The following is a 17,718-nucleotide window of genomic DNA, read 5'->3' on the forward strand; positions in this document are numbered from 1 at the left end:
AGTTGGAGAGGGCGGTAATAACTTCAAGAATTCAAGAAAGCAAAGCTCTGGCTTGATAGGGAGGCCTTGAGGCCGTGTTGGAGGTAGATTGTTTTAAGGCTCACCTGTGGGCAGGGAAAAAGCGGGTCCCACCCAAATGCATCTGGACTCGGTTTTCTCTGCGGGGAGCCCCAGAGTCTTTGATTTGCACGTTGATGTCTGAGAGGTGAGACAGGCTGGCAGCTGCCTCTTTGAAATGTGGCGAGCACTAGCAGGCACTAGAGGGAGAAAATGCTTCCTAGTGCGTTAAGGACTCAGGGACCAAGCCTCAAGCTCGCATTGGGTCGATAGCAAGGCTGCGGTGATCTGGCTGACCTGAGAACTGCGTCAACCGGAACCTCGGCCAAGGCTGGGCTTGTGCTCAGCAGTTCCGGCTCCCACCTCACTGCACTGCTCCATCTATCCTGGCTGCTCATCTCTGCTCCCCCAGTCCTGACAGAATCAAAGCCTTTCCATTTTTGACCTTCCCATCTCTAGACTTTCCTCTGGAGCGAATTTAGCCTAGTCCTAATGTTTGCCAACAAAGTTGATTGTCAACAGCTACAAAAGTTCTTTTGGAAAAGATAGGAAGAATAACAGAAAGAAGGAGAGCTGACATAAGTCAGGAGCCCTGCTCAAAGCTAAGCCGCTTACGTGCCTTATCTCTTTTACAGCCTAACAACGCCGACAAGACAGAAATACTACTATAGTCAACTTTTTGCTACTGGGGAAACTGAGGCTTAGCGAATTTAAGAGCCCTGTCCAACCAAGCCTAGGCAGCTAGGAACAGGCCAGGCCTAGATGGAACAGGGCTGGCCCTTCTGGCCACCAGCTGTGGTCCCAGACAGGACTCAGGAGATAAATCGGATCATTTGGATGGCTAAATGCAGATTCTCTCTGGGGCAGAGCAGAGCTCATCCCAGGAGAGTTGTCCCAGCCTCTACTATAGTCAGCTTTTTGTTGCTGAGGTAACTGAGGCTCAGTGAGGTTAAGAGCCCTGACCAAGCCCAGCCAGCTAGGAACAGGCCAAGCCTGAATGGAACAGCGCTAGGCCTTCTGGCCGCCGCCAACTCTGGTCCCAGACTGAACTGTATATAGCTGTATCTTTATATTATCTATACATCACACACACACACACACACATATATATAAAATACCCTACAAGTGTGTGTAAATAGGGTGTGTCTTAGGGTGTGTGTGTGTGTGTGTATATGTATATGTATATATGTGTATATATATATATATTCATTCAAATAACAAAGCCCATGGCTATTCTGATATTAGCCATGTAGGGCCAGGAAAACAACTGGAAACAAGTGAACCACATCAGGCCAATTATTATATCTGTATCCTATCACTTCTCATATTAAAACCTATAGCATCAAGTATTACCTCTTATCTGAAGAACCTTTTAGCTGTGTGATCCAGGCAGGCTCCTCCTTCATTTATTTGTCATATAATTTAACTCTAGCAACTACTTATGACACAATTAGTTGTATTATCCCCATTTTACAGATGTGGACACTGAAGCACAGGAAACTCAACTCACATGCCCATAGTCATACACAGCTAATCAGTGGCAGAGACGAGGTTTGAATCAAAACCATCTGCTCATAAAATCCATATCACAGGCCAGGCACAGTGGCTCACACCTGTAATCCCAGCACTTTGGGAGGCTGAGCCGGGTAGATCACCTGAGGTCAGGAGTTTGAGACCAGCCTGGCCAACATGACAAAACCCCATATCTATTAAAAATACAAAAATTAGCCAGGTGTAGTGGTGTGCATCTGTAGTCGCAGCTACTCGGGAGGCTGAGGCATGAGAATCGCTTGAACCTGGGAGGCAGAGGTTGCAGTGAGCTGACATCACGCCACTGCACTCCAGCCTGGAAGATAGAGTCTCTGTCTCAAAAAAATAAAAATCCATATCACAAAGTTTTACATTTCAATCAAGTCTATGGGAAGGCTATATGCAAAGACATTTCTTATTTCAAAAATACATTATGTTGGAGGGGATTAGGTGGATTGAAAGGCAAGGAACGTGAAGATAGTTGTATTCCCTCTCCCACCCCAAATTGCCTCAACTCTTCATTCCATAACTCTGTCTTCAAAATTTTCACTGCCTTAAAAGATTCAAATGCTTTTTCTGTCTCAGATGTAATGCCACATGCATAGGTTTTCACAAATGTTCAGAAGGCTGCCTGAATTACCTGTTTTGCTGCCTGTTTGGGGTCCTTTTCTCCTCTGTGAGAAGGATTTTTGCCTGCTCCTCACAGGTATGCTACTGCTCATACCGGCCTTGCTGGGAGAGGATCCTTGATGACTGGGACCTACATGGATGCCAGGATGCCAAGGAGTCAACGCCTTGTTCCCTGGGTAGCTGGCTCAGGCTGGTTCTAACAGAGTCTATTGATGCAAACCAGAATTTTGAAGCTTGGTTCACAAAGTTGAGACAACTCCAGCTTTCTTTGTTTTGGTCAGTAGAGTACTGGAAGCCATCTGTATGTTCAGCCAAACTGAAGGGAAAATTCGAAACAAAGTAAACTGGTGACTCAGATTCAAATTTGGTGGCTGGATGCAAACGAAAGTTAGCTCTCCATGAGACTAAGCATCTAATATTCCTAAGGCCACTGTGAAGCAGAAATCATTGTACCTAGTTAATTATTATTTTGTTGATTCAAAGCAACAGAGTGAGAGATAGCATTCAAATCTTCAGCTTGTAAAAATAAACCATTCAAGTGTGTGTTACTCATCTGGCCATTCAAGTGTGTGACTATCTGGAGATGGTCAGCCTAGGTCAGCCTGTCCTAGGGAAATATTCAAAGTCAAGATCGGCTGTGTCTACCTGGTTATGCCACAGGCCTATTCCAGATTTAGACCTTCCTGGTTTGGGAAGTGGGTGATGGGAAATTTGGAGGAGGTGGAAATGGGGGTGGGGCCATGAGTCCGAACGTGTAGCATGGAGAATGCAGGAATCTAGTGGGTGAAAAGAATAATTCTTCTCCTACACAAATGGAAACGTTCTCATTTGTGCATTTATTTAACATCCACTTATTAAGCAGGCAAGATGTGGCCAGCATGGTACCAGGCACTTGTGGATACAAAGATTGAAAAGTCACAGTCCCTGCCCTCAAGGAGTTTTTAGGTCAGAGAGGGAGAGGCAAGAAAGCCGATATGATTTAATATAATACACCCTGGTAATTAGTACAAAGAGCTTTGGAAGTTTGAGAGTGTGATCTGTCCTGCCTTGAATAACTGCCTGGGAAAGACTTCACCGTGCAGATGATTTTGACTTGGATCTCAGAAGATGGGTGAAGTAGGAGCAGAGCAAGGGCGAGACAACAGACAAATGGCAATTCCACTGGAGGGAAGCACAAAGCAAAGGTGGAGGAGGTCAGACCACGTTCTTTTGTTTTGTTTTGTTTTTTGAGATGGAGTTTCACTCTTTGTGGCCCAGACTGGAGTGCAGTGGCATGATCTTGGTTCACTGCAACCTCTGCCTCCCAGGTTCAAGTCATTCTCCTATTTCAGCCTCCCATGTAGCTGGAATTATAGGCGCCTGCCACGACGCCCAGCGAATTTTTGTATTTTTCGTAGAGACGTGGTTTCATCACGTTGGCCAGGCTGGTCTCGAACTCCTGACCTCTGGTGATCCACCAGCATCAGTCTCCCAAAGTGCTGGGATAACAGTCGTGAGCCACCACGCCCGGCCCAGACCATGTTCTTATTTCTCTTGGGGGGGATGATCAAAGATATTGGGATTTGTGTAAATAAGCTATAGGTTTCTCACATTGTTCTTTGTAGGTCCCCCCGCCCTACCACCACCACCATAGGTTCTCACTCTGTTGCTCAGGATGGAGTGCAGTGGCATGATCATAGCTCACTGTAGTCTCAAACCCCTGGGCTCAAGAGATCCCCGGACTGCCCTGGCTTCCCAGTAGATGAGACTACAGGCACACACCATCATGCCTGGCTAATTTAATTTTTTTGTTGTTGTTGTTAGAGACCACGTCTTACTATGTTGCCCAGGCTGGTCTTGAACTCCTGGCCTCAAGCGATCCTCCCACCTAGGCCTCCCAAAGTGTTGGGATTACAGGCGTGAGCCATCCTGTCGGTTCTGTCACACAGTTCTTCATTAGGGTGTGTCTTATCTCTGTCATGTTTCATGGGGAATAAAGAGAGAAGTGGATTTGAAATGGTTTCCAAGAAGATAGAGTTTCTTTATGTCAAATTTAGATTTCCATTTACAGTGAGTAAATTCAGCTCCTTGTGTCCTGGACATTTACCTGAAGGCTTAAGGCAGAGAGAAGGGCACATAAAAGTAGACAAGGTTGTGGAAATAACAGAGATTAGTACATGGAGAACTATGGCCAAAAAAAAAAAAAAAAAAAAAAAATCCTGCCAGAATGTATTCTTAACTTCGAACAAATGCCAGAAATATTGGTACCTTTGGCTTCCTCCTCAGTGCTTGTGCCTATCAGAACAGATAAAACATGCTGTTTTGGTTAGTTCCCTACGGGTCTCTCTGTCCCTCCGGGCTGGAAGCTCCTTGGAGGCTGGGAGTACGGCTGATTCACTTATGTTCCCAGCCCCTGGAATAGTGCCAGTCACACAAGAGCTCCGTATATTATGAATGAATGCATGATGCAAGTTTAAGAATATTGGTTTTTAATTTGTGTTAATGATAGCTGGAGCATCTGAATATCTTTTTATGTTTGCATTTGGGGTTTTTAATTGGGATTGCATAAAGTAGCTATTGTCCAACTGGCTCTTATTTATGGCGGGACCAGCCTGGCAGAACTGAAGGGCCTGAATGCAGATGTTAAACTCTGTACTCTCCGTTGACCTTGGACAGTCACCTCCAAGAAACTCAAGAGCACCCAATGTGAAAATCACCGGCCAAGAGGCTTTAAATCAATGCCGTCACATTTGTTACTTTAGTCACTTCTCAGAGTGATAGTAAAGTCTCAATCATGCTCTTTATATTGGTCGTTCTACCCTTCAGAGCCATGACAGAATCTCACAGGACTGAAACGTAACATAATCTTTATGTGTATGTTTTCTCGTTGTAGTTGTTATTTGTCATTTTATGTATAGTCTGAACATTAGTCAAGATATTTTCTTAGTTAGACTAAAGAGTGGATTAAGAAGACAATATCTGGCCGGGCAAGGTGGCTCATGCCTGTAATCCCAACACTTTGGGAGGCCAAGGTGGGAGGATTGCTTGAGCCCAGGAGTTCGAGATCAGCCTGGGCAACATGATGAAATGCCACCTATAAAAAATAGAAAATTAACAGGGCATGGTGGCATGCATGTGTAGTCCCAGATACTCAGGTGGCTGAGGTGAGAGAATCACCCGAACCTGGGGAGTTGCTGGCTGCAGTGACACATGATTTCACCACTCTACTCTTTCTTTGCCCCATGACTTCCATATAAAGTTTAGATAACTTAGGGAATGGCAATGACCTGGGTTCTTTTTTTTTTTTTCTGAGACGGAGTTGCCAGGCTGTAGTGCAGTGGTGTGATCTCGGCTCACTGCAACCTCTGCCTCCTGGGTTCCAGCGATTCTCTTGCCTCAGCCTCCTGAGTAGCTGGGACTACAGGCACGCATCACCATGAGCAGCTAGTTTTTGTATTTTTAGTAGAGCCGGGGTTTCACCATGTTGGCCAGGATGGTCTTGATCTCTTGACCTCGTGATCCGCCTTCCTCAGCCTCCCAGAGTGCTGGGATTATAGGTGTGAGCCACTGTGCCCAGCCAACCTGGGTTCTTAATAGTTAGGATCTTATGGTTACTGTCCCAGGGAAAGGTCAAGATCTACGTAGGTAGAGGAATTCATCCAAGAAGTTCTGATGCTCTTCTTTTCACCATGGCTCTGCATTAGTTAACATTTTCCAAGGTAGACACCAATTAGATCTTGGAAACAAGCATGAAGAAAAGCATTACATGAGATCAAAACACGATCAGCTCCCTCTGAATTCTACCTTATGTTTTAGACACTCTATTGGCTCCCTGGCTTGGAGTAATTTCAAATTCCCACTGTCTCAGTGACAAGATATCTTCTCATTCTTCCTTTCTAAATATATTCTTCATTAAAAAAATTCTCCTCACCACTTTATCTCTCTTGTGATTTCTCTTTTTAGAATTCAAATTGCAAAGGACTTCACAAGTGAAATAGAATGCATTTTTGAGCATTATGTTTAATGCTGTTCATAGCTGTAGGGAGCAGTAAACATTTTCAGTAAAGAAATTTATAGCTTTTGTTTGCTTTGAGTTGAAAAGACCATGTTAGCCTTGACAATCATTTCAGAGATACTGGCTTGTGTCTTTGTATCCAGACAGACGAGGTACTGTACAAATATCATCCAGTCACCAACAGATGACTCAAAGACAGGCCAAATTTTGAGGGTTATGGGACTCCAGTGACAAGGACAGAAGCAAGCTCTCTTATTATCAATACTAAAATATGATTCCTGAGGCCTGTTACAAGAGATTCAGATGAGATTGAATGACAAAAATGCAAAAGATGGGAAATCTAGCTTTCGGTCAATTGGCAATCCTGCACTAGGTGGCAAGTCTATCAAAAATGGATTACCTGGGTACCATGGCATTTGCCTGTAGTCCCAGTTACTCAGGAGGCTGAGGTGGGAGGATCATTTGAACCCAGGAGTTCAAGTCCAGCCTGGGCAACATAGTGAGACCCTATGTCTAAAATTTCTTTTAAAAAATGACTAATTTTGTCTTAAAAAAATGACTAATTTTTCTTCCTTCCTTCCTTCCTTTCTTTTCTCTTTCTTTCTTTCTTTCTTTCTTTCTTTCTTTCTTTCTTTCTTTCTTTCCTTCCTTCCTTCCTTCCTCCCTTCCTTCCTTCCTTCTTTCCTTCCTTCTCTTTCTTTTCTTTTTTTTGGACAGGGTCTTGCTCCACTGCCCAGACTGGAATGCAGTGGCATAATTATAGCTCACTGTACCCTTGACCTCCTGGGCCCAAGTGATCCTCCCAGCTCATCCTCCCAAGTAGCTGGAAATATAGGTGCTTGTCACCACACCCAGTTAATTTTTAATTTTTTGTTGAGATGGGGTCTCACTATGTTGTCTAGGTTGGTCTCAGACTTCCGTGCTCAGTCCTCCTGCCTTGGCCTCCCAAAATGTTGGAATTACAGGCATGAGCCACTGTGCCCAGCTGACAACTTCACTTTCATGATTCTAATATGAAGCCAATATAGTACCCTCTGCCACTTTGGAGAATTATGTTCATGCACAGATGCCTATATCTAGGAATCTAAATAATTATTACAACAAATACATCAATTTAATACTCTCAGTGCAAATATTCCTAAGAAATAATAAGGACAGAAGTCCTATTATTTCATTATGGAATAATTACAAATAACATCCTTCAACCCACAGCTGTATTTATTGAATACAAAAACAAAAAGAGAGGAACATGAAACATTCATTAATCATTGGAATAAAAACTATAAATATCTAGATGTTTGTGAGTTTGTACCTGAATAATGGAACACAGTTCCTACTTTGCAACCATAGAACTTGGCCTTGTGCGCACAAATTCAATCCGTTTTTCATCAACGGACAAACCAATGGAAGAGCTGGTACTATTCTGTCACTTGCTGAGAAAGACAAAGCTGAGAACAAAGAGTTAATATTTACCTGTCAAGAAAGCCAGCATTTTAGGACAGTGAGCTATTATCTTGGCATAAATCTAAAACTGAAAAAAAAATACAGAAGTAGAGTGAATTATAGACCTCAGGTTTTCTTGGATTTACCCGGTTTTGAGGAAGAGGGACTATAAAAGGTGAAGTGTATCCTGGAGTTGGACTGTCTAGAGAAGAATTTTGTGTGAATGGGCAATTGCGTAAAAACTAAAATTATACATTTATAAATTCAAAAGATATAAATTATTTTCATTTAAAACACAGGATGCTAGGAAATTTCCTTTTGTGTGACGTATGGCTGCTTGAACTGTCTTTGCTTGCACAAGATGGCCTTTAATAATCTTCCATGGTAGTCAATGAAAAATTCTTCCTATGCTGCCAATTTACTGAGCATAAATTACGGGGAACCTTATATGGAATAAATTATGTTCTTAAGCCTTCTCAGAGGTGAAGCCAATAGAGATTTTAAAGCAGAAAACGAAATGCAAAACGTAGCTCGAAGGGGCATTGGTGTGTATTTGGAACCCTCTCTGGAGCTGTTTCCTCTCCACCCCTGTGAGGGGATTACAGGGCCGCATTCCAACCTGAGGCTTTCTTAGCCACATGTGGCTCTTCAAAAACCTGCATGCGGTTTTCTTCTTAGATTTAAATACAGTGACAAGGAATATTGCAATGTTGATGTGGCAGTGGGCCCGAGAAAAAAACTGAAGAACTCCGCCTGAGTCACAGACGGGACAAATAGGGAAAGTATCACTGACCCCAGATGTGCCCTTACCTGACTTGGGAGCCTTTGTTGAGAAGCCGGCACTACCATACCCTTTTGTACAACCATTGTAAGTGCAATTCATGGGTACTCATAAACGCGAGGTAAGTTTAACTGATTTGTGGCTTTCCACGTTGCTGACGATGAAGTGGTTCTTTGGCTGTTGAAAGGTGAGAGGGACTTGATTTCAATACAGAGATGAGATGCTGCATTCTCTAAACTGACAGATGGAAACTGTGCTTCAGAATTCATTATTTGATGTGAAGGACAATGACGAAAATTTGAATCTGAGAAACAGTTCAGCAGGTCAAAATATAGTCAGACCATTAAAAGTTAAATGAATTTGGATGTTAAAATTCATTGGGAAATACATTTATATGGCAGTTTCTAGGTTCCCTGATAACCATTTTGATGGCCTTTTCTGTATCGTCTTGAGTTTCCTCCACTGTCTCTGCACTACTGAGGTTTGCAACCTTGCTGGAATTTTGTGTCTATGCAATACCTTGACATAGGAATGGAAAATAGAATCTCTTATCAAAAGATAACAAAGATCTCCATGAGAGATGGAAGCTTTCTTGGTCTTCTGTGGAGAGGGTGAGAAAGGAGAGGAAGATCAACCCCACCCCTGACCCATGTCTAATTATCTCCTTTCTCATCCTGAGTATATGGCTATATACTGTCTATTAATGGAAAATTAGGTTACAATTATAATTGGTTAAGATATTTAAAAGTATATGAATAAAATTTAACAGTTTCCCCTTCTAATGAACTCCCCCTCCGTAGTTTTTTTTTATAATTAATTTTTGGAGACAGAGTCTCACTGTGTCACCCAGGCTGGAGTGCAGTGTGCAATCATAGCTCACTTCAACCTGGAAGTCCTTGGCTCAAGAGATCCTCCCAAGTAGCTAGGACTACAGGTATATGCCACTGTGCCCAACTACATTTTTAATTTTTTTATTATACTTTAAGTTATAGGGTACATGTGCGCAATGTGCAGGTTTGTTACATATGTATACAGGTGCCATGTTGGTGTCCTGCACCCATTAACTCGTCATTTACATTAGGTATATCTCCTAATGCTATCCCATGTGTGATGTTCCCCATCTTGTGTCCAAGTGTTCTCATTGTTCAATTCCTATGAGTGAGAACATGCAGTGTTTGGTTTTCTGTTTTTGAGATAGTTTGCTCAGAATGATGGTTTCCAGCTTCACCCATGTCCCTACAAAGGACATGAACTCATCCTTTTTTATGGCTGTATAGTATTCCATGGTGTATATGTGCCACATTTTCTTAATCCAGTCTATCATTGATGGACATTTGGGTTGGTTCCAAGTCTTTGCTATTGTGAATAGTGCTGCAATAAACATATGTGTGCGTGTGTCTTTATAGCAGCATGATTTATAATCCTTTGGGTATATACCCAGTAATGGGATGGCTGGGTCAAATGGTATTTCTAGTTCTAGATCCTTGAGGAATCGCCACACTGTCTTCCACAATGGCTGAACTAGTTTACAGTCCCACCAACAGTGTAAAAGTTTTCCCATTTCTCCACATCCTCTCCAGCACCTGTTGTTTCCTGACTTTTTAATGATCACCATTCTAACTAGTGTGAGATGGTATCTCATTGTGGTTTTGATTTACGTTTTTGCGATGGCCAGTGATGATGAGCATTTTTTCATGTGTCTGTTGGCTGCATAAATGTCTTCTTTTGAGAAGTGTCTGTTCATATACTTCACCCACTTTTTGATGGGGTTGTTTGATTTTTTTCTTGTAAATTTGTTTAAATTATTTGTAGTTTCTGGATATTAGCCCTTTCTCAGATGGATAGATTGTAAAAATTTTCTCCCATTCTGTAGGTTGCCTGTTCACTCTGTTGGTAGTTTCTTTTGCTGTGCAGAAGCTCTTTAGTTTAATTAGATCCCGTTTGTCAATTTTGGCTTTTGTTGCCATTGCTTTTGGTGTTTTAGTCATGAAGTCCTTGCCCATGCCTATGTCCTGAATGGTATTGCCTAGGTTTTCTTCTAGGGCTTTTATGGTTTTAGGTCTAACATTTAAGTCTTTAATCCATCTTGAATTAATTTTTGTATAAGGTGTAAGGAAGGGATCCAGTTTCAGCTTTCTCCATATGGCTAGCCAGTTTTCCCAGCACCATTTGTTAAATAGGGAATCCTTTCCCCATTTCTTGTTTTTGTCAGGTTTGTCAAAGATCAGATGGTTGTAGATGTATGGTATTATTTCTGAGGCTCTGTTCTGTTTCATTGGTCTATATTTCTGTTTTGGTACCAGTACCATGCGGTTTTGGTTACTGTAGCCTTGTATAGTTTGAAGTCAGGTAGTGTCATGCCTCCAGCTTTGTTCTTTTGGCTTAGGATTGTCTTGGCAATGCGGTGTGCCCGACTAATTTTTTAATTTTTTTTTTTTTTTTTTTTTCTGAGATGGAGTTTCGCACTTGTTGCCCAGGCTGGAGTGGAATGGTGCGATCTCAGCTCACTGCAACCTCCGCCTCCTGTGTTCAAGCAATTCTTCTGTCTCAGCCTCCTGAGTAGCTAGGATTACAGGCATGCCCCACCATGCCCGGCTAATTTTGTATTTTTAATAGAGACGGTGTTTCTCCATGTTGGTCAGGCTGATCTTGAACACCTGACCTCAGGTGATCCACCCGCCTCAGCCTCCCGAGGTGCTGGGATTACAGTCGTGAGCCACTGTGCCCAGCCATTTTTAAATTTTTAAGAGACGAGGTCTTACTACGTTGTCCGAGTTGGTCTCACACTGTTGGCATCAAGTAATCCTCCTGCCTAGGCCTCCCAAAGTGCTGGGATTACAGGCATGAGCCACTGGGCCTGGCTTCTTCTTGGTAGTTTTAAAATTGTATCCACTAATTGCCTGATTCTCCCGACTTCAAGAGGTGGAGCCTAAGTCCCAGAAGTGACATTGTACAACTTTGGAGGCTGGGTAATAAAAAGCTGGGTAATAAAAAATCCATTCTGGCTCTGGCGTGGGTGTATGCTCTTTCTCTTTCTTCCTGTCTTGGATCGTTGGCTCTGGGAAGCCTTACAGAAAGGCCCACATGGTGAGAAACTGAAGTCTCTGCCAATTACCGCAAGGAACAGAGGCCTGCCAACTGTGAGAGTGAGCTTGGAACCAGGTCCTTCTACCACAGTCAACTCTTGAGATGACCTCTGCTCCACCCAGCAGCTTGACTGCAACCTCTGAAGAGACCCTGAACTGAAACCACCCAGCTACGTCACTCTCAGATTTCTGACCCTCAGAAACTGGGAGAAAATAAATGTTTGTTATTTTAACGTGCCAAACTTTCAGTTAATTTTTTACATAGCAATAGACAACTAGTACACAACCCTATCAGTGGAATTAGTACAGTGTCTGGTATTGGCTAGAAAAGGCACTGAATAAATATTTGTGGAAGGCATAAATTAAAATGAATAAATAAAAAATTTTATTTATGTCCTTCTACACCTTTCTCATTTGTATAGCCTCTTTGAAAGTAGCTTAACAGAAGAGTGTTTCTGAGAGAGGATCTCTTTAATTATTAAACATTCAATCATTCAATCATTCAACAAATGTTTATTACTGCTACTATTTGTCAATGAACCACTTTATTCAACTATGAAATACTTGTGAGCCCAGTTAAGTATCTGCCAAGCTTTCGTAAAAATATATTTATTGAATTTCTCCCTGAAAGACTCTCTGCTATAGAGGTTAAAACCCAGTTGTTGGGTTAGTTAGATATAGATGACCAAGAAAGGTGAAGGGTTAGTGAAAGGAGAGAAGTTATTTTAATACTGACATACTTAAAGTAATCATTGGTGAGAATGAGACCGATCACTGAACTAATAAGGAATAATAAGGATGGGTGTAAATAATGCAAGGCATTCAATGGTTACTGGGAACAATTTGGGGGAAATGTAGCTTACTCATAGTCTGTGCAGTGTGAAGTGTGGCCAAAGCTGGTTTGGGGGTCAGGTGATCTGGGTTAGAATCCTACCACTGCCATTACAAACTGTGAGAATTTGTAGAACTCACTGAATCCTTTTGACCTTATTTTCTTCATCTATAAATTGAGCAAGTAACACTATGATTTAGAGTTTTTTGGGTTTTTTTGAGACAGGGTCTTGCTCCGTCCCACCCAGGCTGGAGTGCAGTGGTGCGATCATGACTCACTGCAGCCTTGAGACTTCCTGGGCTCAAGTGATCCCCCTGCCTCAGTCTCCTGGGTGACTAGGACTAGAGGCACACCCACCATGACTAGCTAGTTGTAGAGATTTTAAATTACACAAAGCAAGCAAAAGGTTGAGCTTATTGCCTGGCATGTAGTAGGTACTTGAAAAATTGTTAGCTCAAAAAAAAAGAAAAGAAAAAGAAAAAGAAAAAGAAAAGAAAAAAAGTCTGGGCGCCGGTGGCTCACGACTGTAATCTCAGCACTTTGGGAGGCCAGGGTGGGAGTATTGCTTGAGTTCAGGAGTTTGAGAGCAGCCTGAGACACATGGCAGAATCCTGTCTCTATAAAAAACACAAAAAACTAGCTAGGCGTAGTTGCACATGCCTGTAGTCCCAGCTACTCAGGGGCTGGTGTGGGAGAATTACTTGAGCCTGGAAGGTCAAGACTGCAGTGAACTGTGATCCTGCCACTGCACTCCAGTCTGGGTAACAGACTGAGACCCTATCTTGAAAAAAAAAGTTAGCTACTTATTTTTTTTTTTTGAGATGGAGTCTCACTCTGTCGCCTAGGCTGGAGTGCAATGGTGTGTTCTCGGCTCACTGCAACCTCTGCCTCCCAGGTTGAAGCGATTCTCCTGCCTCAGCCTCCCAAGTAGCTGGGATTACAGGCATGCACCACCACACCCAGCTAATTTTGTATTTTTAGTAGAGTCAGGGTTTCACCATGTTGGTTAGGCTGGGCTCGGAGGTTTTCAAGTCTCCTACATTGTTAGAACACTTTCCTGCTTATGTGCACCTCCCTCCTTTTACCTAAACATCAGTACGGCGGAATTGTCTGAAAATCTAGAGTCAGGAGGAATGATTGGAGTATTGTTGGCCTTCTCAGCTGCTCTAGGAGGAGCTTGGTGAGATGGGATAAAGGCAACATGGACACAGTAGCAGTCTCTGTGCTGCGTCCTCACACTCCACATGGCCTTCCATCCCACAGTGTTTCTGCCCGTTGGTTGGTCTCTCTTAAGAGACCATTTGGAGGCTCCTCTTGCACCAAAGTGACCTTAATGGTGGTTCCTGCACGTCTCTAACCTACACTTCTGAGAGGTGAGGTATAGGGGCCATTGCAGAACTAGCTCAACTAAAACATTTCAGGGCCATTTAGTAAAAGAGTCAAGAAATGTTTTCTTGTTCATTAGTTGGCTGCTTCACCTTAACTTGACCATAATTGAAACTGTGAGCCTCTCTGCATTTCCCTTCTTTCTGTTTATCTTACTAACCCTTCTCACTTTGCCAATTTCTTCCTCTACTTTCACCCTCCCCTTCCTTCCTTCCTTCCTTCCTTCGTTCCCTCCTTCCCTCCTTCCTTCCTTCCTCTCTCTCTCTTTCTTTCTTTCTTCCTTCCTTTTTTTTTCGGGGTTTCACTCTGTCACCCAGGCCTGAGGGCAGTGGTGTGATTATGGCTCGTTATAGCCTTGACCTCCTAGGCTCAAGCAGTCCTCCTGCCTCAACCTCCTAAGTAGCTGGAGCCATAGGCATGTGCCATGAAACCCAACTAATTTTTTAAAAATTATTTGTAGAGATGAGGTCACCCTGGGCTGCCCAGGCTGGTCTTGAGCTTCGGGGCTCCAGCGATCCTCCTGCCTTAGCCAGTTTTGTTCATTTTTTTCCCTTCCTTTCTCCTCTGTCCATCTCTCACTCATGGTGAGGTAGGAGCTAAGAAAACAAGAGGGACTGGAACCATTTTGGTTCCTTTCTTTTCTTCTTTTTTCTTACTCATGTCACATACTTCCGTAGCAGAGGCACTTTGGAAGTTGCCAAGCAAATGAGCTTGTTTCAGATGAATCCATTTATATTTGAGTAGAGGTCTAGGGCTTATTTGGGCTCAATAAAATCAAGTAAGTCTTTGGATAAAGTGGACAAATTATCCTTTTCGTTTGGCTTGCTCTTTGGCCACAAACACATCATTATTCTTATTCTCATCTATTTGGCATTTCCTTGAATGGGTCTTCTCATCTTTTGGCAAAAACAAACACACAGACAAACAACAAACAAATAAACAAAATACCTCAAAAAGCATGAATACGTGAAATTTATTTTACGTCAGCCAGTTTGAACATACTCCTTGGTAAAGAGGGTAAAGAAAGATAGGATGAGCACAGTTAGGAATATGATGTTATTTGCTAGATTTATTAAAGTGTGCTTATTATTTAAGTCCTTTGGATGACATCTGCAAATAAATATGACTAATGCATTAAATACTATGTCTATATTAAACCTACATTTACATTCTGCACATTTTTGTATTAGCACATGTGTCTTTCACATTTGACATCTATTTTCTGATACTTAGTAATATAGAGTACATCTTTTAATTTATTTTTTAAAGTCCTGATGGGAAGAATTAGAAGACATATTTAACAAGATCTTGTAGAATGTCCTCCTATTCTCACAGTGGTAGACAAACTCCATGGTGCCTCTCCTTACACTCATCTCTCATGTAACTTATTTAAAAAATATCTTAGCAGATCTGTGAGATTTGCAGCTTCTTTTTGCTCGAAATTCATTCTTTAAGTGTAGAAAACATATATATATAGCATTGCAGTATATGAAAATTGAGAGAAAATATAGAAATTACCTGTATTAGTTAGGATAAGCCAGATTATGCTGCTGTAACAACTTAGCACTAAAATATTTATAGTTTAACAAAACAATTTCTCAGGCTCATTTCTCAGTCACATTACATATCAATTGCATGTTGACATGGTGATTCTATTTCACATACCCACTAAAGGGCCCAAGATGATAGAGGCAATGCTATCAATAACTGGACCAAATCAAATTAGTGGTATACTTTGTGGCCACAGCAGGGGAAGAGAGCACTGGAATATCTCTCATGGGCAATGAAATATCCAGAAATAACACATGTTTCTTCTGCTTATATCCTCTTGGCCAGAACTAGTCACCCGGCTGAGCATAACTAGAATGGGGTATGAAAAGTATAGTCTTCTGTGTGCTTGGAAGGAAGAGGAGAGCCAGACATTGGTGAGCATTCTTGATGGCCACCACATTACATAATTTAATCCTTTTATTATGTAGATAAAGAAAACTGAGGGCTAGAGAAAGCTGGTACACTAGGTCACAAAGGAAGCTAGTGGCAGAGCTAGCACTAGAACCCAGTTCTTTTGGTAACAGGTCATTTTTTTTCTTGTCGTTGTATAGTAGTTACTCTTTTCTATGTAGGAGCTGATGGCACAGACATGTTGCAGAGCTATAGATAAATCATTAAACACGAATAGAAAAGATGACCTTGGCTGGGTGCAGTGGCTCATGCCTGTAATCCCAGCACTTTGGGAGGCTGAAGTGGGAGGATCTCTTGAATCCAGGAGGTGGAGACCAGCCTGGGCAACATAGTGAGACCCCATCTCTACAAAAAATAAAAAATATTAGCCAGGCATGGTAGTGAATGCCTCTAGTCCCAGCTACTCAGGAAGCTGAGGCAGGAGGATCACTCAAGCCAAGGAGTTTGAGGCTGCAGTGAACCTGAGTGATTATGCCACTGCACTCCAGCCTGAGTGACAGAGTGATACCCTGTCTCAAAAATAAAATAAAATAAAATAATTAAGCAGTGTTGCATGCTGCAGGATTAGACAAGTAGACTAATGCAACAAATAGAGTTCTGAAATAGATCCACGAATACATGGTCAGTTAATCTTCTTTTTCTTTTTTTTCCTTTTTTTTGGTGGGGGACGGAGCCTCCCTGTGTCACCCAGGCTGGAGTGCAGTGGTGCACTCTTGGCTCACTGCAACTTCCGCCTCCCGGGTTCAAGCGATTCTCTTGCCTCCGCCTCCAGAGTAGCTGGGACTACAGGTGCCTGCCACCACGTCTGGCTAATTTTTGTTATTTTTAGTAGAGACAGGGTTTCATCATGCTGGCCAGGATGGTCTCAATCTCCTGACCTCGTAATCTGCCTGCCTTGGCCTCCCAGAGTGCTGGGATTAGAGGTGTGAGCTACTGAGCCCAGCCTGGTCAGTTAATTTTCACCAAGTACACAAGGTGGTTCAATGAATTTTGTGTGTGTGTGCCGTATATGGTCTGGAGCAACTGACTAGCCAAGTAAAAATTGTGGGACCTATATTTCACATAAAGAAACAATAATTTCAAACTGACTGTAGATCTAAAGTAAAAGCAAAAATTGTACATTTCTAGAAGTAAAAAAGAGACTATCTTTAAGAACATAGGGTAGGTAAAGTTCTTTCAGGCAGAACATAAAGGCAGTTTTAAAAAGACAAAAATTAAATATAAAAAATATAAATTATACCTTATTAAAGTAGAAAGTCCTTGGCATCAAAAAACGTTGTTAAGTAAATGAATAGGGTTAGTTTTTCTCCATTTTTAAGAACTGGAGGAGGAGGTGGGAGGATCACTTAAGCCTCAGAGGTTGAGGCTGCAGTGAGTTGTGATTGTGCCACTGCACTACCTCCTGGGTGACAGAGAGAGATCCTGTCTAAAAAAATAAATAAATAAAAATAAAAATAAAAAAAGTAGAAGAAGAATGACCTCACTGTGCTTTCCAGGCCATATCCTCTAATGCCATGATGAGGGAAATTTTCTCTCTCTTATTCAGACAAATGTGAAACTTTGACATTTACTGTTACTATTACTAGTAACAATATCGTGCATGTACTCAGAACCTTAAACTTCTCAAAGCATTTTCAAATGTCTTTTCTCTCTTGCTTCACCATAATTTATCTGAGATAAGCAGGCTCACTGTCACTGACTTAATTTTATAGATACCCACGACAATGACACAATGTGCTCAAGCTCACAAAACCAGCCAATGGTGACATTAGGATTAGAATCCAAAGCTTTGCACAACCATGGAAAACAATGAAATCATGTCCTTTGCAGCACCATGGATGCAGCTGGAGGCATTTATCCTAAGTGAATTAATGCCAGAACAGAAAACCAAACACTGATTATTCTCACTTATAAGTGAGAGCTAAACATTGGGTGCTCATGGACATAAAGATGGCAACATCAGACACTGGGTACTACTAGAAGCGGGATGGAGAGAAGGGGACAGGGGTTGAAAAAC

At 42.1% G+C, this 17,718-nt stretch overlaps 1 long non-coding RNA gene across 1 annotated transcript in view; it reads left to right on the forward strand.

Annotated features, from left to right (window-relative positions):
* Positions 1 to 17,718, forward strand: part of LOC101927263 (uncharacterized) — a 43,664-nt gene that overhangs the window by 18,763 nt on the left and 7,183 nt on the right. The window contains exon 4 of the long non-coding RNA XR_007064788.1: positions 2,294 to 2,493. This is a non-coding gene — a long non-coding RNA (uncharacterized LOC101927263). The remainder of the gene's footprint in view (positions 1 to 2,293; positions 2,494 to 17,718) is intronic.

Source organism: Homo sapiens, chromosome 15, assembly GCF_000001405.40.
Source record: "Homo sapiens chromosome 15, GRCh38.p14 Primary Assembly".
Lineage (NCBI taxonomy): Eukaryota > Metazoa > Chordata > Mammalia > Primates > Hominidae > Homo > Homo sapiens.